Here is a 25,404-nt window from a genome sequence, read left to right as displayed (position 1 = left end):
GTAAGTGTAACATTCAGAACCGGGTAACATTCGGCGACCGAACGCGGCGGTCGGCAGCGTTCGCGCGGGGGCCTGCGAAGCGCTGCTCGGGGCCGGCACTGCCCGCGGGGAGGACGCGCCGCCGCCGCCACCCAGCGCCGCCGCCGCCGCCGCCTCCAGCCGGGCCGCCGCGCGTCCCGGGGGCCGGCCCCGCGAGCGCAGGAGTAAACACCGCCGGAGTCTTGGAGCCGCTGCAGAAGGGAATAAAGAGAGATGCAGGGATTTGTGAGGTTACGGCGCCCCAGCTGCAAGATGCACTAGCCGGCTGAACCCGGGATCGGCTGACTTGTTGGAACCGGAGTGCTCTGCACGGAGAGTGGTGGATGAGTTGAAGTTGCCTTCCCGGGGCTCATTTTCCACGCTGCCGAGAGGAATCCGAGAGGCAAGGCAATCACTTCGTCTTGCCATTGATTGGGTATCGGGAGCTTTTTTTTTCTCCCCTCTCTCTTTCTTTTCCTCCGTCTTGTTGCATGCAAGAAAATTACAGTCCGCTGCTCGCCCGCCCTGGGTGCGAGATATTCAGCCCCGCTCTCTCCCGTGCATTGTGCAACCCAAAGATGAAAGACCGAAGGGGAGAAAGTTAAAGAAATCGCCCACATGCGCTGGATCAGTCCACGGCTTGGGGAAAGGCATCCAGAGAAGGTGGGAGCGGAGAGTTTGAAGTCTTTACAGGCGGGAAGATGGCGGACTGGAGCTGAAAGTGTTGATTGGGAAACTTGGGTGATTCTTGTGTTTATTTACAATCCTCTTGACCCAGGCAGGACACATGCAGGCCAAAAAACGCTATTTCATCCTGCTCTCAGCTGGCTCTTGTCTCGCCCTTTTGTTTTATTTCGGAGGCTTGCAGTTTAGGGCATCGAGGAGCCACAGCCGGAGAGAAGAACACAGCGGTAGGAATGGCTTGCACCACCCCAGTCCGGATCATTTCTGGCCCCGCTTCCCGGACGCTCTGCGCCCCTTCGTTCCTTGGGATCAATTGGAAAACGAGGATTCCAGCGTGCACATTTCCCCCCGGCAGAAGCGAGATGCCAACTCCAGCATCTACAAAGGCAAGAAGTGCCGCATGGAGTCCTGCTTCGATTTCACCCTTTGCAAGAAAAACGGCTTCAAAGTCTACGTATACCCACAGCAAAAAGGGGAGAAAATCGCCGAAAGTTACCAAAACATTCTAGCGGCCATCGAGGGCTCCAGGTTCTACACCTCGGACCCCAGCCAGGCGTGCCTCTTTGTCCTGAGTCTGGATACTTTAGACAGAGACCAGTTGTCACCTCAGTATGTGCACAATTTGAGATCCAAAGTGCAGAGTCTCCACTTGTGGAACAATGGTAGGAATCATTTAATTTTTAATTTATATTCCGGCACTTGGCCTGACTACACCGAGGACGTGGGGTTTGACATCGGCCAGGCGATGCTGGCCAAAGCCAGCATCAGTACTGAAAACTTCCGACCCAACTTTGATGTTTCTATTCCCCTCTTTTCTAAGGATCATCCCAGGACAGGAGGGGAGAGGGGGTTTTTGAAGTTCAACACCATCCCTCCTCTCAGGAAGTACATGCTGGTATTCAAGGGGAAGAGGTACCTGACAGGGATAGGATCAGACACCAGGAATGCCTTATATCACGTCCATAACGGGGAGGACGTTGTGCTCCTCACCACCTGCAAGCATGGCAAAGACTGGCAAAAGCACAAGGATTCTCGCTGTGACAGAGACAACACCGAGTATGAGAAGTAAGTGTCTGGGCTGGCGTGTCTTTGGGAGTCAGCCTTGGGCTCTGCCGGCCTTGGTCCAGGTGTGAAGTTGGGGGATGGGGTGAGGGCGGATGAGCCCTCAGTCCTCTTTCCCCTTTGAGCCTGGAACTGAGCAAATCCGGTTCGGGTGTGCAGCTAGAGGCTGGGGACAGAGAGTTGGAGCTCCTCGGGCAAACTGAAAAGCCTGGAGCACCTTCTCGAGCCAAGTAGGTGACAGTATCTCCCTCTTGCTTAGGAAACCTGCAGGGCGGCGTGTCTCCTGTTAAGAGTCGGGGTTAGATCCAAGTTTAGTAACTGCATTTCAGGCATGGGTACTGGAGGGTGTTTCTGAGGGTATCTAGAGACCCGGAGAGGCTGTGATCTACCCAAAGTCCAGAGACCTTCCACCAAGAGTGATGCTTTTGTTTGCTTTTCTCATGAGCGGGGGTACCTACTTTCCCAGGAGTTTTCCCAACTTCACATTTTCTGTAAGCCTGTAATTCATGTTAGCCGTGGAAATGTTTAAATTGTATCGAACTTTGTGTGGCCCTTTCCTCTCTCCCCCGTGGCATTGACTTTTATGAAGGGAGACTGTAAACTTGTTGGGCCTGTGGCTTTGCATGCATGCATGCATGCATGCATTCATTCATTCATTCATTTATTAATTCATTCATTTCTGTACATGTCCTGTCTCTTTCCTAGGATAAACTTTTTTTTTTTTTTTAAATGTGGGCCTCAGTCTCACTGTCTAAACTCCAGTTGCTAATTTAGATTTCCCGTTCCCTTTTTTCTTTATCTATTTGCATGTAAATTGTAGACTGTTACTCTTTGAATGGGTGTGAGATGCCTCCTTACCCTCTGTAGTGAGGCAAGTTTTGTCCAGTTGCTAAGTAACTGAATTGGTTACTTTGTAGACCTTTTCACTCTTCCTTTTTCCTTCCCCGTGACAGTAACTGACACGGGATTTGGAGTCAAAGCTAAATTCCACAAATCTGCTTTATCCTGAGCTTGGTGGACCAGTTTCCTAGTAGGTGGGGTTGCCGCCCAGACTCTCACTTACATCTGGCTGTGAAAGAGTTAGTGAGTTCCTACAGTGCATTTCCACGTTACGCCAGTTAAAAACCAGAGCAGCCTTGTGCTACCCAGGGAAGGAAGGGGAACCTCTCAGCTGAGTACAAGAGGAACTGGCAGAGGTTGGCAGATTTTGCAATTGATTCATGAAATGCAGAATAGGGGAAATGTTTCGCAAACCTGATTGGAACAGGAAGGGGTATGGTGGGAAACTGGCCTTGAAATGAAAGGTTTGATTGTCGTCTGTGCATTTTTTCAGACACTAGGGCCTCTATAGGAGTGATTGGAAGGGAAATTAAAGTCCTCCAAGACTTGATCATAGAGAGTGAAGGAGAAAGTATCAAGCACTCAGATTCAGCTTTCCAACCCCCAATACCTTTTGCTTTTCAGGCATAAGAAAAGCCGGAGACTAAGATCAATTATGAATCCATATTTTCCTCTCATCCAGGGGCAGTTATGTATGAATGTGCAGTTGCAATGGATTACAGTTTTCTCATAAAAGACATTTAAACTATGGTTAGTAATGAACTGCTTTGTTTATACGACATTTACATTGACCTATTCCTGTGGGTGCTTGTAAGAAAAAAATGCTTATAGCCTTTCAGGAATTTCTTTGTCTGGTTTATGGTGGAGTAACTCGAGATGAAGTCTAACCTTTCAGTGTCTTCTAAAGCAGTCTCAAAGAATTCTGTGGAAGGATTCTGTTCTTCATCCTTCTAAAAGGGCTAAAGCTGAGATTTCAGCTTAGGAAATTTGAATTATATATATTGGAAAATACCCTTAATCCAAGTGAATAATATCTTTCTTACCCTTTTATTCCCAAAATAAATATTACGTTTCTACGTTTTCTGTGGAATGGAAGCATTTTCTAGAGATCAGCAATGAAGGGAGGGGTTGGTTTCTTTAAAACTTTAATTTTTACTAAATTTAACTAATTTTTGACCTCTTTGTGATCGGGCCAAGAAATATGACACCCACACTTTGGTTTATGTTTAAAGACCACAAGGGGTCAGGACCTCAGGATTGGGTCTGATCAGAAAAGTGGCATTTCGTAGAAAAGCAAGTTTGCTCTTTCTCCCAAGCAGGGATCTCTTTAGCAGGGACACTTCTGGATTTTCATTATGTTCCCCTTTGGCATACCTTCCAGCCCTAAACTTGCATGTAGCCCGGGATGGTGCTGCGAAAGGTTTACATTCACTCGCCTGGTACACCTGGAGTTTTGACTCATTCCTCTGAGTGGGTTAGCAGAATTATTTGTCTTTGAGAAATGGTGCTTACAAACTTTATTGCCATTTATTATTGGTTTTTTGGAACACATGAAGATGAAGCAAGAACTCTCAAATTTGGAGATACGCTAGCAGAGCAAGCAACGTGTGTCGTGCTCTGGCGTAAGAGCAACTACTGTGCTACTTATATTGATGCTTTCTGGAAGATGGCCTTAGATATGTGAGATGCAGAACTCCTCAAGTCAAGATATGCCAGTCTCTCTAGCGTTTTGGGTGGAGGCGATATTGAAGTTAGGTCTGTAGACGTGATCTGTGTAAGTTTGACTTCTCATACTGACTCATGGTGTGACTTTTGATTAGTCACCTTGAGCATTAGTTTGGGTTTTGCAGAGTGGGTTTCAGACTGCTTCAGGGGTGCTCTAAGCACTCATTTGGTAATAGCTTGTAAAAACACAATCAGTTTCCATCTAGCTTATTAGCAAGTGTCCATGGGAAAAAAAAAGCTTCAGTTTAATTTGCTCCCTCAAGCAATCACCTGTAAGTTTCCTTTGGAGCAAACTTTATGCAGCCTGATGACTAGATTGAAAATTTATGGTATTATGGTCAAGTTAGAGTATATACAAATATAGAGTATATACAAATGTTTCAACTAAAAAAAGGTTGCTTTTGGTGAAATAGAATATTATGTGTCGATAAAGAATTTAGTGCTAAAAGAGCAATGACTTCTGTCTCACCTGTGCCTTTGTGAAAATTAGACGTTGATTACAAAGGTATAGAAAAGCTGCAAGGAATGAAAGAAAATACTTTTCTCTTGTAATAGAGAGAAAATAAATTTCTTTTGTCATTTTTTGACCCAGACGTTCAGGATTATATTAAAATATCAATTTTTATGATAGCTGTAATTATTTTTTATCAGTTATATATTTTAACACATGTGGATAATGCCAGCTAAAACAAGTCATTGCAGTAATTAGATGAGTTGTAGTGACGCTTTAGAGAAATTCTTTGTATTTTATGTTCTTTCAGCTACTTATGCATCCTTATAGAATTATTGTACTTTTGCATGAACTTCATAGTTCACATCCCTACAAAGGGCATTATTGTGAAACTTTAGATTCAGCTATTTGAAATAGAAGAAAGAGAGGGAAAGGAGAGGTGGCTTCTATCTTTGACCCCCTCCAAGGAAAGCAAGGGTGAATATTTAAAGCTTTTCTGGAAACAGGCAAGATTGTGTGCAATTCTTTTTGGTATTTCCCTTTTTCTGTGTTTGCTAACACTGTACCTCACCATCCTGGTATCTTCAAGGGTCTTGGAGGTAAGTGATCATTCAGCTTCCAACATCCTGATTTTTACAGATGTAGAAACTGAGGGACAGAACGTTTCAGGGGTTTGCTTAAGGCAAGAAAATTGTTTAGTGACAAGGGTAGCACCAGAATGCAGGCCCCCTTAATTTTGCCTTGATCTGCAGTCTTTCATTTCTATTCTCAGGCACCCTTGAAAATTCACCAGCCACAAGGAGATCCTTATTAATGGTGTTTGTTATGGGATTTCTCTTAGAATTCTTCAGTAATCTGATGAAAACTTGGAGGACAACCTTTGCAAAAATAAATGATAAGTAAATAAATAAAAGCATGTACACAATTTGTTATATGGTTTCAGGGGCTGACACACACCTCCCGCTGAGGGCATCCTCAGACTTACAAACTCTTGCTCTGGGAGTTTACATTTTGCCTGTTTGTTTAGTTGGGTAGGTCTGTGGAGCTGTTTAGTCTAAGTAGGAGTTTTTTGAACCTTTCAATTTGGCCCTAAGGGGTTTAGGGAATAGACTGTGCATTGACTGAACAATAAGTTGAATTACATGCACTTACAGCAAAAAGAAAATATGTGCAAGGCAAGTAAAAATGCTAAATACTTTTTTCTTTTTTTCCTCATTATCCCAAACTGTATTAACAGACACCTTGAGCAAGTTCATGATCCAGCAGTGAACCTTAGATGAATGTTTTCCTTCTCCAAAATGAAAGGTGGGAATTGAGATTCTCGGGTTTTAAATGTAAAATATTAGCACCTTTCTCCCCACAGTTGTACAATAGCACAAAAGCATTTCTAACATAAACCCAATTAGCACAGTTAAAAAATAAGGTAGGGCCAGCCCTATGGAAAATTATGAAGTTGGCAAGTTTGTCTTCTGACACCGAGATTCTGATTCTCTCCTTCCTTTCTCGCCTCTTTCTAAACCTGCTTTCTGGAGAGCACCTGAGAACCTCAATCACAAGGAATCCCTGAGTAAATGTTGGGGTGTTATTTGCTACTTTCAGGGACATTTGTATTATTACTGAATTCAGCCTAGCAAATGAGGGTTTCCAGTGGAGTCTGTGATCTAAGCTAGGGGCCTGCAGGATTTTACTCTACGAATAATGGCTTGTTACTAAGGTTTGGGCAGGTCCTGCCCATTGGAGGCCACCTTTGGTCACCCTGACTCTGACAGCAACTTTGGATGGCAAAAGGGGAGATGCTACACCTGCAGGTGGTGTTAGTTCTTTCTGTCAGAAGGCTTGAGGATCTGCCTTCTCAGAACACAGTGCTAGAAACTCCTGCCAATAATGACCTTTAATATGCCAATGTCACAGCAGAAGTTGTGCTTGGTAGGGCCTGGCTGCTTTGCTCACAACCATCTTGAAGGTGTCTTCTCAGGCTATGTTGCTGGTGTGTAAACGGAGGCAAACGGTGGTAAGGTGACTTGCCTGAGGCTACGCAGCCTGTAAGTGGCTGAATTGAGGCTAAAACCCAGGTTTTATGGCCCGAGTTGTCTGTTCTTTTCACGGAGAGAAGAACATTCATTGCTACCTCACTGCATTCGCTTTGCAGCACTGCATATTCAGAATGAACCAGGTGAGACAAAGTGGTCATTGGCTTCTGCAGGCTTCTGGACATGTTTCATGTTCAAACATGAACACAGAAGCTTATGTTTCCATGAGGTTAATAACTACAGGTTGAGCTTCCCTAATCCAAAGGTCCAAAATGCTCCAAAATCTGAAACTTTTGACCACTGACATGAGCATTTTGGATTTCGGATTTTTGAATTAGGGATGTCCAACTCTAAGTATACAATGCAGATATCTCAAAATCTAAAAAAATCCAAAATTTGAAACACTTTTGGTCTCAAGCATTTCAAGCATTTTAGGCCAAGTCCTTCTCAGCCTAAATTGTGTATTTGAAACAAGGTATTTTCTGAACAAGGTGTTTGAGAAGTAGCTATTGCCATGTAATAATTACCTAGCGCTTCCTTCATACTCTGGAAGAAGAAAATAGTGCGTTTTTTTTCTCTCGAGGTCATAATGTGAATGTTGTATGCAGTGGCCATGTCATCAGAACAGGTGTGCCAGCCCCCTGCATGGAACATGTACATGCTTCAGGTTGTGCGGAATTAACTTTCTTTAGATAAGGGATAACTAGCATTCATTTCAGATAACAGATATTCAACCTATAATTGTTTTTATTTAAAACCTCTTCCACCTTGACCAGGCTCCTGTAATAAACAGGATTCCCTCCAGACTAGAAGATTTGCTGAGTACCTGTTATTTGAATTTACTTTTATTAGTTCATAGAACCTTTCAACAACAGTGTGAGTTAGGTTATATCCCCATTTTACAGATTAGAATGTAGGCCCCTGAGACAGTAAAGTAACAAGCTCAGTGTCACATCTAGTGAGAAAATGGCAGGGTTCCTACCTGGGTACTTAGATTCCAAAGTCCATTCTCTTCTACAAAATGTTACCATCTTAAAGAATCAAACAGAGTTTCTCCCTGTTACATATTAACTTTTAATACGTGAAGCGTGAGTCAGGTGTTTGTATATGGATCTTTTTTCCATTGCTTTACTTTATGAACATGTTTCCCGAGGAAAAAGTTTGGCTCAGAGATGTCATAAAGGTGGCTCCTAAACCTGACATTTAAGCACTGAACTCCTTCAACTCTTCTGTTCAAGGGGCATTGGAATTGTTTCTATGTAGATTCTGCTTGTAATTCTCTCCTAGGGTTCTTCTAAGAAAAGTGAGGAAGCTGATTAGCATTCTGTCTGTGTGACCTTTCCCCTACTGATAGCATCCTGCAGGGTGTCCCTCTGTGATTGTAAGTGAAAGTGAACCCTGGAGATGTCGCTGCAGGTGGATGGGGATCAGAGTGACTGCTGCCCCAGGTAGACACTGTGATCCAATAGAATAGAAATGAAAGGCCTATGGGAATATTCTGTTTCTGGAACATACCACACCCAATGCCTCCAGGACCTAAGGCTCTTTAAAAGAAAAACAGTGCTTAAAAAATTATAAGCGTTATACACAGGCTGAGCACAGTGGCTCATGCCTGTAATCCCAGCACTTTGGAAGGCTAAGGCGGGAGGATTGCTTGAGCCCAGGAGTTCTAGATCATACTAGCCTGGGTAACACAGTGAGATCTTATCTTTACTAAAGATAAAAAAATTAGCTGGGCATGGTGGTGCACACCTGTAGTCCCAGCTACTTGGGAGACTGAGGTGGGAGGATTGCTTGAGTCTGGGACATTGAGGCTGCAGTGACTGATGATGGCACCACTGCACTCCACCCTGGACAATAGAGCAAGACCTTATCTTTCTTTTTTTTTGAGACAGAGTTTCCCTCTTGTTGCCCAGGCTGGAGTGCAATAGGGCGATCTCGGCTTACCGCAACCTCCTCCTCCCGGATTCAAGCGATTCTCCTGCCTCAGCCTCCCGAGTAGCTGGGATTACAGGCATGTGCCACCACACTCGGCTAATTTTGTATTTTTAGTAGAGACGGGGTTTCTCCATGTGGTCAGGCTGGTCTCGAACTCCCGACCTTCGGTGATCCGCCCACCTCGGCCTCCCAAAGTGCTGAGATTACAGGCATGAGCCACCAAGCCCGGCCGACCTTGTCTTTCAAAGAAAGAAAGAAAGCAAGAAAAAAAAAAGTATGCATAGCCTCTGTGGAAGATTGGGAAAATACAGAAGATTGGAATACATAATTAAATTTCTTTCCTAATTCTATTATAAGTGTTAGCCACTATTGGTAAACTTTGATGTAGTCAGTCTATTCTAGCACATATATATACCTATATGTTTATGTGGCTCTGTCTCTGCATATCCAAGTACCCTGGATAGATAGGTTAATTATTATTTAATTAATGGTGAGTAAATAATGAATTCAACACATTTTTCTTAAGTGTCTTGTTTGTGCCAGACACTTATGTATTGGAGCTGGGGCTACTTCAGCAAACAAAACAAACTCCTACCCATTCACCTTACCATTCTAGTCTGTCAGTTTTGTAAAGTTGAAGTCAGACTTTAAATGTATTTTTGGATGTTATTTTTTTTCCTAACATTATCCAAGGGCATTTTTCTGTTCTAGTAAATTGTTTGGAAAATAGGATTTTTAAGGTGTGATTTTTTTTTTTTTTCTAACCCATGGTTGGACCAGAGTTTGTTTAACCATTTACATTTTCTTACATATATTTTATTTGTTTATTATTATTTTGAGACAGAGTCTTGCTCTGTCACCCAGGCTGGAGTGCAGTGGCGCGATCTCGGCTCACTGCAACCTTCGCTTCCTGGGTTCAAGGGATTCTGCTGCTTCAGCCTCCCGAGTAGATGGGATTACAGGCACCCACCACCACACCCGGCTAATTTTTGTATTTTTAGTAGAGATGGGGTTTTGCTGTATTGGCCAGGCGGGTCTTGAATTCCTGATCTGAGGTGATCTACCCACCTTAGCCTCCCAAAGTACTGGGATTACAGGCGTGAGCTACAGCACCCAGCCTTCTTACATATTTAACTTGTTTTTTTTTTTTTTCCTCATTAGAAATAGTCTGTAATGGGTTTCACCTTGTTGAGTGTTTTCTTCTTGACTAGGGTCTCTCTCTCAAAACACAATATAGAACTTCCTGTCCTGTCCTCCCTAACTCCCCACTCCAATCCCATTCTGGGCTATAGCTGTTTTTAAGGTGAACACCCATTTAGTGAAGTAGCCATCATTAAATGACTGCCTAGATAAACATTTGTAGGTGTTAATTGGTCCTGCCAGGGGGCCTTTGAAGCTCCACTGCTCTGTTCTCTTTGAAGTTTTGTTTTTCTCCAGCCAAAATCCTCCCTGGTCTCTTACTGAGCAGACATCCCTAGACTTCACTCCAAGCACTGTGCATATAACCTTGCCTGGGATTTCAGAATCTGCAGGCCTTACCTAGGTAGATGTTACTCTTCTAGCTAATTGTATGCAGTTTATCAAGGATTTGTTTCTGTTTTCTCTTTGGTTGTTGACTCCATGGACCATAGGAGGTAAATTTGGACAGGTCGCTTTGACCTCTGGGCATCTAAGTAAGGCCTGGGATTTTAAGTGTAAAGGAGGCACTATTCTAAGTGATTTAAAAATGGACAGAAAAGGAGAAATTTGTGAGGATACACAGCCTCTTTTTGTGTACCCTTTTGTCTTCTGTGAAGCCCTTTAAAAGGGAGAGCCTGTGGCCCTGCACCATAACAGTAGCTGATCCCCCAAAGTTCCTGGACTAGGTTTTTAACTTCTCAGCCTCAGTTTCCACATCTGGAAATGGGGATCATAATACTGGTCTCATAGGGTCGTTAAGAAGGTCAAATGAGGTGGAGTATGTGAGACTGTACCTTGTAAACATTAATGTGTTCTACAGGGTGGTGGTATTATTAAACTCATCTTCCTGCTATTTCCTAATCAACAACAGAGGTTCATTTAGTTTCGAAACTTAGCTCTTCCTAACTAAGCCACAGCAATAACTTATCTCTACTTTGATACTTAAGTCCTCAGGAAATTGTGGTAGGTGCCCTGGAAGTCCAGCCATTGTTTCTGTAAAGACCTACAGGGGTCTTCAAGCTGGGGCTTGCATGTGTGTGGGGTAGGGGTGGAAGCAGTTGAGGGGGATCCCTGGGGCAGTCAGATACTTCCTTGACTCCATGGCCTTCAGGTTCCCAGGTTGACTGCTCTATTAATGCAGGTGATCTCTTTTCCAGTTGACTTTTTTTTTTTTCTTTTTGAGATGGAGTCTCGCTCTGTCGCCAGGCTGGAGTGCAGTGGCGCGATCTCAGCTCACTGCAACCTCTGCCTCCTGGGTTCAAGCGATTCTGCTGCCTCAGCCTCCTGAGTAGCTGGGACTACAGGTGCATGCCACCATGCCCAGCTAATTTTTGTATTTTGAATAGACAGGGTTTCACCGTGTTAGCCAGGATGGTCTCGATCTCCTGACCTCGTGATCCACCTGCCTCGGCCTCCCAAAGTGCTGGGATTACAGGTGTGAGCCTCCGCACCCCGCCTCCAATTGACTTTTAAGTCCTCGCCAGTTGAGGGTAACATTTGGAGGGACACCGTGTGTGAGTGGAGCTCAGCTACTGGGAAGCCTCCCTCGGCCGGTTCAGCAGGCCCTTATGTTGCAAAGAGCCGAAAATCATTTGGGCTACCTTAAGTTTTGGGATTTATTGTGAGGGGACATGGGGCAGAAACTGAACTGAAACTGCTCTCGTAAGTTCTCAGGACCCACCACAATACCTGGGCCAGGCTCCTTTGTTCCTGCTCTATGCCTTCATGTCTTGCTTGGCTAGCATCTCTGGCCCTGTGTGTGTCTTCCAACCACTGGCCAGTCTTTCCTGAATTCTCTCGTCCAGGGCCTGGAGGAGACCAGTCGGATTGACTTTTCCAGTAAGCATTGCTTGCTGGGGAGAGCCATTCATATTAGGCCACGTCTTGGGTATGGTGGTGACCTGGTCAGTGAAACGACTGCCCTGTCATGTTGCCACTCTTGATTTACTTGGTGGTCATCCTCTTGTGAAAACAGCCCAAAGTTGCTTCCTGCAACAGAGGACTGTGGTTAGGGGAAGTTGGCTGTGGCAGGCGCTGTTGAAGCCATATCCTGTTGGCATGCACATATTTGACCCCAGTTGATGATGAGGATAACAGCAACAGCAACTCATATCTGAGGGCATCCTATGTGAGGATAACAGCAACAGCAACTCATATCTAAGCACATCCTATGTGCAGGGTAATGAGAAGTATCTTCTTTAATCTTTATGTCCACCTAGCAGGAAGATACCCATTTTATCTCCATTTTACAGATGAAGAAACTGAAGCAGACAGTCTTTAAAAGTGGTTTGCCTAAGAGCATACACATAGCAGATGAACTGAGGCCCTCTGACTTTTGAACCTGTGTCCTTAACCACAGCACCGTACTGCTTTTGAACAGCTGGAACTGATGTCATAAAGACCACACACTCACAAACAATAGTATGATTGATTTCTAGAGTATCACTTGGATTTCTAACCTAGAATTTATTTAATCTTACGTTAGACAATTCTAACCTGTTAGGTAATCTGGTTTCTCAGCCTGCAGTAGATTAGAAGCAGTACATTTAAAAATGAAAGAGGGATTCTTGCAGATAGTACTGGGAAGAAAGGACAGCTGGTAACCCAAATATAAGGAAGTGGGCCAGGAAATTATAAAATGTAATGCCCAGAAGAAGTAAAGAACCATGGCAATTGAAGAACAGCTGGCCCAATGCCCAAGAATGTGTTCTACACCCTCCTCAGGAATGAATGTGCTTCCAAGTCCAACACCTACTGCCCTGCCTGTCACCAAGCACAGCTTCTGTGGATATTTGATGAACTATAACATGGTACAGTATTGGCTCTGAAACATCATTTGTGTTCACTGTCCTTTGTTTAAGAATGTAGAAAAAGAAGTAATGTGTTTTATAACTTTTTTGAAAACCGTATGATTAATAAAATATACTGATGGTCTTAAGAGTAAGATCTCCATTTGAAAACTTGTCTACCAACTTTAGCAATTTCCGCCAAGGCTCCAGAGAGACAGGGTCTCCTTTCGGTTAGCATTTGATTTCTGCTACTTGTTGCTAACTCTGATTTCTGGGTTTTCAAGATGCATATCAGTTTAAACCTAGGTGAAATGGTAAGTTTTCTGATCCTGTGGTGTAGGCCTGTAGTGCTAGCTATTCTTTTTTTTTTTTTTTTTGAGACAGAGTCTTGCTCTATTGTCCAGGCTGGGGTGCAGTGGTGCGAACTCGGCTCACTGCACGCTCCGCCTCCCGGGTTCATGCCATTCTCCTGCCTCAGCCTCCCAAGTAGCTGGGACTACAGGCACCCGCCACCATGCCCGACTAATTTTTTTTGTATTTTTTAGTAGAGACGGGGTTTCACCATGTTAGCCAGGACGGTCTTGATCTCCTGACCTCGTGATCTGTCCGCCTCGGCCTCCCAAAGTGCTGGGATTACAGGTATGAGCGAGCCACTGCACCTGGCCACTGTGTTAGCTATTCTTGATGGACTAGTATCTAGAATGACTTGGGCTGTGGGCTCAGGTAAAGAGAGTAGCTAGCCTAGGGCTAGGGCTGGCCCTGCCTGCCTAAGGCGTGGCATATGGATGTTAGGGTTTGGAGAAGGGAGGGGCCCAGGAGGGAACAAGGGACATCTCGTCTCTTGTCCTATGGTTGTCCTGGCAGGTATGTTGGGCATTTCACACTCCTAGCGGGGGCCTAGCTTGGACGTGTAGCAGGCACACTTCCTGCACACATTTCAGTGTCCTGACGGATTGGTAGAAATCATCCACAGTGCCACTGATAGAAAATATGATCACCACCCTGCTTGAATGGGCCTTGGGGGTGTCTCATAGTTAATTCACATGTTACTAAGGCAGGCAAGCTCTGCCTGCCTTCTCATCCCCAGCCCCAGGGCAGAGCCACACTCCTCCTCCTTCTCCCCGCTTTCCCCACACACCTCCTTTCCACTTTCTGGAAAGCCAGCACCCAGCTGCATCTGACTTCTTCCAGAGTCACTTCCTTGATGCCTCAGACAAGGCCAAATTCTCCTGGTATGTGCTCATATAGAACATTTAACACCCAGCTGTGGTTTTCCATTCAGTTAGCTGTTTGTTTGTCTCTCTCCAGTAGATTGCACAGAACCTGAGGGGAGGATTCATGTTGGTTTTTCATTGATTTACTCAACAGATACTTATTGAGTGCCTACGGTGTGCAGGCACTGGGGATTCAACAGTGAATAAGAAGGTGCACGTACCTGCCTTCTAGATGCTCATAGCCTAGTGGCTGGAGGCTGAGGATCATGGCATACACATTTTGTCATATATTAGAAGGTGCTGGATGCTGTGAAGTAAAGCAACGTATGGAAGTGGGTTAAGGCAGTGGGTCTCAACCTTAACTGTACAGTAGACTCTCCTGGGGAGCTTCTGAAAAAGCCAGGCCCCAGTCCAGGCCAATTAGGGATGAAGTTCCAGATTTTATTTATTTTTATTCATTTATTTTTATTTTTTTGAGAAGGAGTCTTGCTCTGTTGCCCAGGCTGGAGTGCAGTGGGGCGATCTGGGCTCACTGCAACCCCTACCTCCCAGGTTCAAGCAATTCTCCTGCCTCAGCCTCCCGAGTAGCTGGAATTACAGATATGTACCACCATGCCCGGCTAATTTTTTGTATTTTTAGTAAAGATGAGGTTTTGACATGTTGGCCAGGCTGATCTTGAACTCCTGACCTCAAGTGATCTGCCTGCTTTGGCCTCCCAGAATGCTGGGATTACAGGCGTGAGCCGCTGCACCCAGCCGGCCGAAGTTCCAGGTTTTTAAAAAGCTCACCAGGTCGTTTGGATGCAAAGTAGGAGTGGGGATGAGGAAGAATTTTGCAGCTTTAAATATGGAGGGAAAGAAAGGCCTCCTTGGGAAAATGACATTGAGCTCTCGTACCATTATACCTTCAGAGCCTCAGCACCATGCCCGACTGACTCACAGGAAGCACTCAGTGTTTGTTGCATAAATGAAAAAAATTTACATTTATTTAACCGAAGGGAATGTTACTACTGTTGATATGGTATATTCAAAGTATGGAGTCTCTAAATGTTACTGTCTTTGGTTTGTAGCTCAGGCATTCCTGTTCCTACTCCAAGTTCATTGTGTTCATTTGCTGGTTCACCCAGAGTTTCTTGTCATGTTCAAATGGGAAGTTTCTCCCAATGAACCTTTTTTTCCCCAAGGTATCCTTTCTTCCTTCCTTTCCTTCCCTCCCTCCTTCCCTCCTTCCCTCCCTCCCTCCCTCCCTTCCTTCCTTCCTTCCTTCCTTCCTTCCTTCCTTCCTTCCTTCCTTCCTTCCTCCTTCCTTCCTTCCTTCCTTCCTTTCTTGACGGAGTCTTGCTCTGTCGCCAGGCCGCAGTGGCGTGATCTCGGCTCACTGTAACCTTCCACTCCCTGGTTCAAGTGATTCTCCTGCCTCAGCCTCCTGAGTACCACCACATCCAGCTAATTTTTGTATTTTTAGTACAGATGGGGTTTCACCATGTTGGCCAGCATGGTCTCGATCTCCCGACCTCGTGATCCGCCTGCCTCAGCGTCCCAAAGTGCTGGGATTACAGGCGTGAACCAGTGCACCTGGCCTCTTTTCTTTCTTTTTCTATTTTTACTATTGTGTTTGATATAAGTATCACTGAAGCCAAATTAAAATGAACCAAAGGGTTTTGCTGCATAACACAAATCCAAATAATTTATTGGTACAGGAAAAAACATTATGATCTTTTTATCATTTAACAGTCTGTAGATATTGAAACTTCCCCCCCTTTAATTGTAGTTTTTCTCCCAAAAGATTGATAGAATAAAACTTTTGGCTCACATTTTTTGCTCAGGTTACGTTCAAACTCTGCTAACTGATATTGAAGCATTGCCCCAGAGAATGCAGTAACACAGGGCTTAATTGAGCTATCAGGCTGCTAATGAATTCATATTGAGATTTATCATTTAATTAAAAGGCAAAGCGGGGAAAAGCAAAGGGAAGGTGTACAATTGTTCCTTCCGCTGGCCTCCATTTCCTCCATTTAAAATCGTGGCTTGTTTGTTTAGTTTGTAGAATCCTGTGGGATATTGCATAGAAGTACTCAAGGTGCATAGGTAAAATAGAGGGTGTCCTGTATTGCAATGACTTGACTTCTTAGTGGGTCTTAAAAATTGATTCAGATTTGGTGACAATCATATGACACTTGATTAAGTAGAAATTATGTTTTATGATGTTTTTACAAAAGATTAGGAAGGCCATTTTCCAAAATTATTCCTAGGTCTGTATATCTGAAGCAATCTGAAAATTCAATCAGAGGGAATCTAATACTGAGATGCTTTTGCTTTACTGACAGAGAGTAAATTTTTCTTGAAAACACCATTTCTTATATGCTACATGTGTCTTTAAAATTCACACCTGCATTGAAAAAGCTACCTTTAAGCAACACTTTTTATGATAACTGCATTTTTAAGTATGCAAGTGCAATGTTGCAAACCTGTCAATGCAGGGCAGTCAGTCTTTTATTGATTCAGAGTGGAAATGTATAATATTTTTTGTATTTAGATTATAGAGTTACATGTTTTTAAAAAAGAACAGTATTTTATGATAAGTTAAAATTTAAGTACCTCAATGCTTAGTACGGTTAAAAGGTGGAGTAGTGTTTTCCTGCACTTAGTTTAGACTTAGCTATATCTAAGGAGTAACTCAAGCAGGGATAACAGAGGGCAAAAGGATTAGATGTCAAAACAAATCTTAGGTTTCTATGAAAATAAGCTAAGAAATGAGCCCCCTTGGATGAAAAATATGAAGTGAGAATATAGGGAGTGTTGGTGAGGTTTGAACCTCTTTGGGCCTCAGTTTTCCTCATCTGATTTTCCTACACAGAGACCTCTGATTGAAGCTGTCACATCTGTACATGCACATGTATGTCTGCATGTGTGTTGTATGTTTGCTCAGGGAGGAGGGCATGGTGTTCAACTGACTCCAAATATTTGATATCAGACAGTTTTGTCTGGAGAGAAGAGCAATAAGATTGTGGAAGTGATCCTAAAATCTAGTTTAACTCTTGTGTAGCGTAGACAAAAAGTAGAGATCCAGGGAGGTTGAGCAATTTGCCCAAGGTCATGTAGTTGTGACCGAATCCGAAATGGAACACACGTCTCTTGACTTCCAGCTGAGGATTGCTTAGAGGTTACACATAAGGGTTCTGGTTTGAATTCAGATGGTGACTCTGTCACTAGCTACGAGACCTTGGTCAGCTTCCCTGTTTCCGTTCTTCACTTGTAAAATGGAGATAACAATTTCAACTTCATAGGGTTGCTGTTACAGGGATTAAATGAGTAATAATACATGTAATATGCTTAGAATAGTGCATGGAACATAGTAAACACTCAATAAGAAACTATTGTTACTGTCATTATTATTCTGTCTGTTCCATTAAACTACATTTGATGCCTGTAACTTCAGGCTTACCGTTTGTATGTGTTTATCATGGTTTTAATTTCATTTCTTTCATTTGACCTGTTTACAGCTCATTATAATTGTAGTGTGCAATATTGTACATTAGCTTGCCAGTCATATAGAAGCTCCTGGTGGTTTGGCAAGTGCCCAGAATTCCAACCACCTGTTGGAACTGTTGCCAAAATACAGTAGATTTTTATTTCCCAGATGTTGTTCAACCGAGAGTACAAATCATTAATATGACTTTGTGTCTTTAAAAAAATTCGTTCTCCTATTACAAAAGTATTATGTTTCCCACTAGTTCTGTGAAGCTGAGCAGTCACAGAGGTCTTGTTCCTGCCTCTTGAAAAAACATTAAAACGGGTAGCAAATGTGCTGGGGGTCGGTCACCTGAGATAGCTTTCAGAGATAAACCTGTGCGAGATAGAGAAGGGAAAACTATTTTTCTTTTCTAGCAATCCAGGTAGCCAAGCAAGTGATTCCACCGTGCAGGGGCACTTAGCAAATCAGGAAGCGCGATAACAGTGAATGACTTTCTACTTTCAACAATTTGAAGGGCTGCTAACAACTGATGGCTTCTTCTTGAGGATGGCATTATCAGTAGCAGCAGGACCCAGACCTCTGCACCGTTTCTGCATGTTAAGTTTAAACAGTGTATGCCTATCCTTGAGGATAAACTTATAACAGGGCCAAGGTAAAACTTAGAGAAGAAATTCTAGCCTGTGATTTGAAGATCTGGGAGCATTCAGACATATTGGAACTTAAGTTTTCATTCTTTTTCTCAGGAGACAAAGCTGCAATTATGAATAAACACATTGTAAGAGCCTTTCTGTGATACCGTGTTGGCCACCAAATCCAGATGTGATCTGATTCCTATCCAGTTCCACATTGTAGCAGGCTTTGCTGTCATTGGGTCATCTGTGTTCCTTGAAACTTCACCATATCCAAAAAAAGCATGTTAGAACAGGATTAAATTCTTCTTATACATTACAGAATTATACAGAGGGTTCTCTAACATCCACTGTTCAAAAAGAGACTCTGGCAAATGGTTCACTAAGTATAAGTAAAGTGAGATGGAATGTCTGATCCCAAATTTGATAGTGCTTGGCTCAAGACAGGAAGCAGGGTATGTATGTTATGCACAATGATGATTATAGGCCTGTATTTGTATGTGGAACATGTATTCAAATTTCAAATCTTTTTTTTTTTTTTTTTTTTTTGCTGGGAATTTTTCTGGAGCATGTGGTGTATATTGTTTTCTGCCAAGCATCAAGGGGCTGTTTTATAAAGGGCTTTTTTGGGGGGTGGGGGGAGTGTATCCTCTCCTTTCTTTTCCCAAAGTTTTCTTGTATCTTCTCCACAAAATAAAAATTTCTTTCTTCTAGTTCACTGACTTGGAGATTCAAGCAGCAGCACGATAAAAATACCATATTGCATTTCCAATGAACTCCTTTAATTAGATGAGATGAATTAATTGGATTTTTGGGACATGTCTGTGAAAGTATAAGATACTCACTTTTGGAACTCCCAGGCATGGTGTGGCCTGGGAGCTTTCTCAGTTTGCTCCTATTCAGGACATGGTGTAAGAACTGTCATTTGAAGCCTGTCATTTTAGTCCCCCTTGGGGGTTTTACAAATGGCCTAGTGATTTTTCAGATAGCAGAGAATAAATCAGCAGTGATTTGGCCTGCCCTTCAGCCTAGGGCATTCCCTGGTTATCACCAGCCTCATCATCAGGTGCTTGTATTACACGTTTTTCTGTCCACACCGGCAGGTGAGATGGTAATCTAAGAGTTGATTTCCAACACGTGCGGAGGGACTTTCGAAAGTCCCCCTAGTCCCGGTATTCTCTTGCCCTGTATAATTTTAGGGGTCCAGGCATTCAGGCTTGGATCGTCCTCCTTATGTCTTTCAGGGCCTTGGAAAATTCTGGAATTTAGACAGGGGCAGTAAGTCAGTGGCTGTAGCCCTTGAATCCCATTTGGGACCTTAACTCATTCTACCTTGCATTATAATTATTTGGTTTTTAACTGTCTAGGTTTCTGTACTTTCAGGGGTAAAGCTGATTCATTCTCCTCTGTATCCCAGAGTCCACCTCCAAGGTGGTAGGTTGCTTGATAGGTGCTTAGTAAATATCATATTTGATTAACTTTTTGTAGCCTCCTCTTTAGTCTAGAAATTCTAGATCCCAAATAGAAGGTAAGATATGGTATATTCTGGACTTTTAGTTTTCTATATCTCCTTTTCAAATACAGACCTAGGGTGACAGACAAAAAAATATTGTGATCAAAGTATATAGCATTTCCTTTCATGGTGGAAAAATGTGCCTGATAAATGTTTTCTCTGCATTATTTTCCTCCAAATATATTTTAATGACAGTTATTTGGATATTTCACACTTTATACTCGACTTGGGCTCAGATTAAGTCTTGTGTTAGTTATAACCTTGAATAACAATTAGGTTCATGAGAACAGGGATGGTGTATATTTGTTTTTAATCTGTTTCCCAGCACTTAACCCAGTGCTGAGTTTATAGTGGGTCTCCAAGAAATACTTGTTGAATGAGTGGCTTTTGGTCATGGTGGCCTTTTAGTGCAGAAAAACTTTTGGATCTGAATTGTTAGATTTACTTAATTTTTTTGTAATAACACAGAGAATGTTGAATAGAAAAAGTAAGTTTAGAAGATACATATATATATAGAGAGAGAGAGGGAGAGTTAGATTTATTTATTTATTTATTTTTGTGAGATGGAGTCTCGCTCTGTCGCCCAGGCTGGAGTGCAATGGTGCGATCTTGGCTCATTGCAAGCTCCGCTTCCCAGGTTCACATCATTCTCCTGCTTCAGTCTCCCGAGTAGCTGGGACTACAGGTGCCCGCCACCATGCCCGGCTAATTTTTTTTTCTTTTTATTTTTAGTAGAGACGGAGTTTCACTGTGTTAGCCAGGATGGTCTCAATCTCCTGACCTCGTGATCCGCCCGCCTCGGCCTCCCAAAGTGCTGGGATTACAGGCGTGAGCCACCGCGCCCGGCCGACTTATTTATTTTTTTGTAATAACACAGAGACTGTTGAATAGAAAAAGTAAGTTTAGAAGGTATATATCCATATCTCTATATATTTTACCCTCCTTGAGGTTCGAAATAGTAGGAGTGAAATTAGAGATTTACCAAAATCGGATGATGATTTGCACCTTTGAAATAACTCATGCCTTTGATTGTCACTTTAGCTACAAGTAGGTTCCTGGTCATAACTGTAATATCCCTACAAGCCTGCTTTATGGAACTTGAGCTGCATCGTATTGTCTAAGATAGGCCTCGGTTCTTGGCCGGGTGCAGTTTATGTTCTTTGAAACTGTCTCCTTTTGGGGAGCAGGCTGAGAGATAGTGAACTCATTGAAGAGAATTGTAGCGGAACTCTCTAGCAACTTCCTAATAGAAGATGTCCCCTCCTTGACTTCTTTGGTGTTTCAGCTGCCCCATTGAAGGAAGGGACAGACTGTGCCCTTGGGACCAGAGCCTCCTTGCTAACTGTCTGCAAATGAATGAGGCACCAGCATGCCATGCTCAGCCAACCACCTGTGGTACAAAACAGCTTTCCTGGACTCTGATCCCTTAGTATAAACCTGTGTATACAGGATTCACAAGGATATAATTCTGTGGTGTCATCTATCAGGCACATGCTTTTTTTTTTTTTTTTTTTTTTTTTTTTTTTGAGACAGAATCTCACTGTCTCACCCAGGCTAGAGTGCAGTGGCCCTATCTTGGCCCACTGCAACCTCTGTCTCCCAGGCTCAAGCAATTCTCCTGCATCAGCTTCCCGAGTAGCTGGGATTACAGGCACCCGCCACCATGCGCAGTTAATTTTTTGTATTTTTAGTAGAGATGGGGTTTCATCATGTTGGCCAGGCTGGTCTTGAACTCCTGACCTTAGGTGTTCTGCCTGCCTCGGCCTCCCAAAGTGCTGGGATTACAGGCATGAGCCACTGCACCCGGCCAGGGACATGCATGGTTTTCTACAGAGTGGCTTCAGCTTCCACGGTTCATCCCTAGACAATTTTGCCTTTTTTTTTCAAGACACGGTCTTGCTCTGTTGCCCAGGCTGGATGACAGTGGCACTGTCATGGCTCACTGCAGCCTTGACTTCCCAGGGTCAAGCAATCCTCCCACCTCGGCCTCTGGAGTGCCAGCAGGACGTGTGCCACCACACCCTGCTAATTTTTTATTTTATTTTTTTAGAGATGGGATCTCCCTGTGTTGCCCGGGCTGGTCTCAAACTCCTGGTCTTAAGTGGTATTCCTGCCTTGGCATCCCAAAGTGTTGGGGTTACAGGCATGAGCCACCACTTGTGGCCTACTTGGCTCTTTTTTACAGGTTTTTGGTTGACACTTCTCTGCAGAATAGCACCTGGCACCTCTCACCACCACTGAAAAGGATGGAATTTTATACACCTCTTTTTCCTAGGTTCTCTCTAGCAGTTACCAAGGGACCATCGGAGGTACTTATTGTGGCTGTTTACAAAAGCCTTGCCTCCAGTCTGAGTCACCTCACCCTACTCTCTGCTTCTTCCTTTTAGCTACTCTTTTTTTCAGTAACCCTCCCTCTTTCCTCTGAAGGCTTGTGCTTGCACACACAGGCAGACATACTCATGCACGCGCACACCACACATGCTTCCTGTCCTCTGGCTCTCCCGTATCCTATGTAAAACCTCCTACTGTCATTTAAGTGAAACCCTTCTAGCACATAAGAGTTTTCATCTCAGAAGCTCAATTTTACCTTTCACTTTTCAGATAGAGAACACCCAAGGTTTTTAATAATCTGGCGAATGTGTTAAAAAAGGACATATTTTTTAAAATCTAGATTGCAAAAGTAATACTGTAGCATTGTTGAGTTCAGACATTATAGAAAGTGAAAGTTCCCTATCATTTGTTTCCCATAACCACCTTGAATAGTTTAGTGGATATATTTTATTCTAAGCACATGCTGTTTATCTTCTTGAAAACAGGATCATGGCATAGATATACTCTTTTGTAATTTCTCTTATTAGAAAAGAAGATTAATCATATATCAAACACGATTCCATGTCACTCCATATAGATCTTTCCCTCATTCTGTTTTTACAGCTATAAGGGAGTCTGCTGTGAAAATGCTCCTTCGATTAGTTTATAACTGAGTGTAAAATTTGGCATTTCACTCTTGATTATAGTCTTTTTCTGTATATTCACCCCCAATTCTTTGAGAATGAGGAGTACCCTAATTTTGTAAGCAAAATTTTGGGGGGCTTTGGGGTGAAAACTAATTTAAATGCTTATTTTCTCAGTTGCCTACCTCCATTTAAAAATCAGTTTTGAGGGCTATAAAAAAACCTTATGATATTAAGGCCTTTTTTTCTGTATAAAAATAACATACAATTTATTTTTTCCATTTATTCAAAAGACTGAATTACACTAGCCAAGAAATGATCAGTCTCGTGTAAAAGAATAACACACGTTCTCCTTGAATCAAGACTACTCTGAGATTCAGAAATGCCAGTAGCGGAAGGTGGGGTGTGACCCCTTAAGTAAGTGTGACTAGTTAAAGGTGTATGGATATTCTTTGTGGAAAGCGGGCTGCCAGATACAATTTCAGGCTGTTTCATATTACTTCACACGGTGCTTTCAAACTGTTTATTTTCTCTCTTGGCACTAGTGAGTACAGCTCATAACTGGCCAGATAATATCTAAGTCTAGGACCAGGACAGTGAATGGGTTTTACCATGATTTGATCAAAAGTAAACAAGAAAACAAAAGCAGAGGAAAAAAAAAAAAAAGAGAAGGCATCACATTTTTCTCATTGTGGGGCTAAAATGCTGCATGTTGAATTTTCACTTTCTGATTAGAACCCACAGTTGAACAGATCTGATTTATTTTTTTGGGGTCAGGAAGAAACTGTCAAATTTTAGTTTGACTGTTCTTTTCTTTAGGTCTCCCCCCTTTCTTCCCCTACCTTTTTTTTTTTTTTAAGCATTACTATATTAATCAGATAGCAGCCACTGTTTGACATGTCCTTCTGTGGTGGCTGCAGATTAAGTCTGAACCGTGCCAGAAATCTCGTTGCATTTTTTGATGTAGCAGAAATGAACCTGGTTCATTCCATCTTAACAGCTTTAGCCAAATGGCTCAGAAGGGATCTACCCGATTTCATAAAGAAGAGTTAATGTGCAGTCTGGTTTAATACAGGTGCCCTTAAAATACATTTTTGTTTTGTTTTGTTTTCTCACTTCCAAGTTTAACATGTCCATGGACATTGGCTTTAGTTTCCCCAAGATGAGTCCATGAATGACCTTGTTCCAGTATCCCTTGCTGATTTGAGTTCCCAAGTAATAAGCCTGGGAATGTTTTCAGTGCAGCAGCCGGGAGAAGAAGGGGGATTCAGCAGTTGCTGTTCAATGCATTTACTCTCTACCTGCTGGCTTCAAACAGTATTAACTTTATGTGCTCCTTGTGCATTGTGTTTAATTAAAAGCAGTTCTCTTCACAGAGGCACTTGTAGGATTTTTTTTTTTTTTTTTTTTTGCCCTGAAACGAATAAAACAAATAGGCGTCTGGTATTTGTTTTGTATAACACAATCCCCATAAAATGAAGAGTAATAAAACATAATTATCTGTAAAGGCTTGTTTTATAAGCCTGAGAATGGGCTTGTTTCTACCAGGTTTTTATGTTCATTCATAGGAGAAAGAATCTCTTTGTACATTAATATGTAACAACAATAAGAACAAATGCTTCCCAATTACATGCATGAATCAAACTTATCTTTTATTAAAAAATTTTTTTTCTGTTGTAGTAAAAGTTTGTCATTAAATTCTTTCTGTGTAAACACATTAGATTGAAGGAAAATGTTTTCCTTCAATATTCTGTTCAACTGGCATAACTTTATGATTTTTTTCTCCCCAGCATAATTAAAGAAACAACTTTATGGTTGGTTATTGACTTTTTTAGGTCAGAGAGCACTCTGTGGATTCTAAAACCGCCTTCCAGAAAAGTACACATCAAACTTCTACGTACGTTTTTATAGGGTTTGTAGAGCTCTGATCCTTGGTTAAAGATCCCTGACAATGTCTAATAGCTGTTTTGAAAACTGTACCTCCAATCTGAAGCTAAGGTTTTAGTTTTAGTTTTAGTATGTGAATATCTGATGAAACGATTCAATGGTTTTGTAGCATTGGATTCAATTTCAGGGTTGGGCTCCTTTCTAGGAATAGAGGAATATTCTTATCTCAGGAAAAAAAATTCAGAGTGTGGGAAGTACGAAAATTATTAATTCAAAGGTGTATTTGCTGTCAGATTGGATGGCAGTACCCACATCCCTAGGGGCTCCTGTTCCCAAGACTGTTTTCATTGTTTCTATCCAGCGCTGGGCACGAGCCTTGAAGTGGCGAATTCATCCTCTGAAGTTGTGTGTCCATTGCTGCAAGAATAAAAGAAGCAGTAACAGAATCATGCAGCGCAGTATTTCATGGTGACAGTTTTATGTGGTTGTGTGATGTTGCAGAGTCTTGTAGGTGATATCTACCCTTTTCTTTTGAATCAAAACACGGGGTTTTACTGGAGGAGGGAAGTTTCAGAAACAACCTAGTCTAACACAAAATTAAGCTCCTAAATAGTTATCCCATTCTGTCTACTACAAAACTAATTGCTTACAGGAAGTAGAAGTACACATATCTAATATTTATATCCTGTTTGAGTAGTGGTTTCTAATTTTAGATTTCTAACCCCTTTTTACATTATCTTTTTGCATTGAAATTATACTGAAACATTCATATTATTATGAATGCAAGCTGAATTAAATAGACCAAGATTCTCGGTTTCTCCCTTCATGTTGTCATCTACTAGAGAATGAACAGCTTAAAATAAGTGCATCAGTTCCTCATCCAAAGGGAAGCTGAATATTCCAATTCAAGATCACTTTGCGTGCTTACTGGAAATACCATTTTTGAACGTACTTGGCAACTTAAAGTGCCCAATTAAAAGCTCTGTTGAAAGAGGAAGTCTGTGGATGTGCAATTA

The 25,404-nt window shown here is 42.5% G+C and overlaps 1 protein-coding gene across 1 annotated transcript in view, besides 3 other annotated features; it reads left to right on the top strand.

The window, feature by feature from the left end:
- The window catches only part of EXT1 (exostosin glycosyltransferase 1), a 317,337-nt gene continuing 291,958 nt past the window's right edge, over positions 26 to 25,404 (top strand). Inside the window, exon 1 of the mRNA NM_000127.3 lies at positions 26 to 1,767. Within this exon, the coding sequence (NP_000118.2) occupies positions 806 to 1,767 (962 nt within the window). The 5' untranslated portion in view covers positions 26 to 805. The remainder of the gene's footprint in view (positions 1,768 to 25,404) is intronic.
- Positions 84 to 173: a silencer, noted in NCBI's record as "silent region_19478". NCBI's record gives its function as "represses an Ori minimal core promoter by ATAC-STARR-seq in GM12878 lymphoblastoid cells {active_cell/tissue: GM12878}" and the evidence as "EXISTENCE:reporter gene assay evidence [ECO:0000049][PMID:35858748]".
- Positions 7,876 to 8,628: an enhancer, noted in NCBI's record as "NANOG-H3K4me1 hESC enhancer chr8:119115463-119116215 (GRCh37/hg19 assembly coordinates)". NCBI's record gives its function as "activates a minimal SCP1, AML or CMV promoter by ChIP-STARR-seq in naive H9 embryonic stem cells {active_cell/tissue: H9 hESC(naive)}" and the evidence as "EXISTENCE:reporter gene assay evidence [ECO:0000049][PMID:30033119]".
- Positions 22,175 to 22,234: an enhancer, noted in NCBI's record as "active region_27836". NCBI's record gives its function as "activates an Ori minimal core promoter by ATAC-STARR-seq in GM12878 lymphoblastoid cells {active_cell/tissue: GM12878}" and the evidence as "EXISTENCE:reporter gene assay evidence [ECO:0000049][PMID:35858748]".

This window comes from Homo sapiens, chromosome 8, assembly GCF_000001405.40.
Source record: "Homo sapiens chromosome 8, GRCh38.p14 Primary Assembly".
NCBI classification, from domain to species: Eukaryota; Metazoa; Chordata; class Mammalia; order Primates; family Hominidae; genus Homo; species Homo sapiens.
Note: the sequence above shows the minus strand (reverse complement) of the source record. Positions and strands in the feature narration are given on the sequence as shown.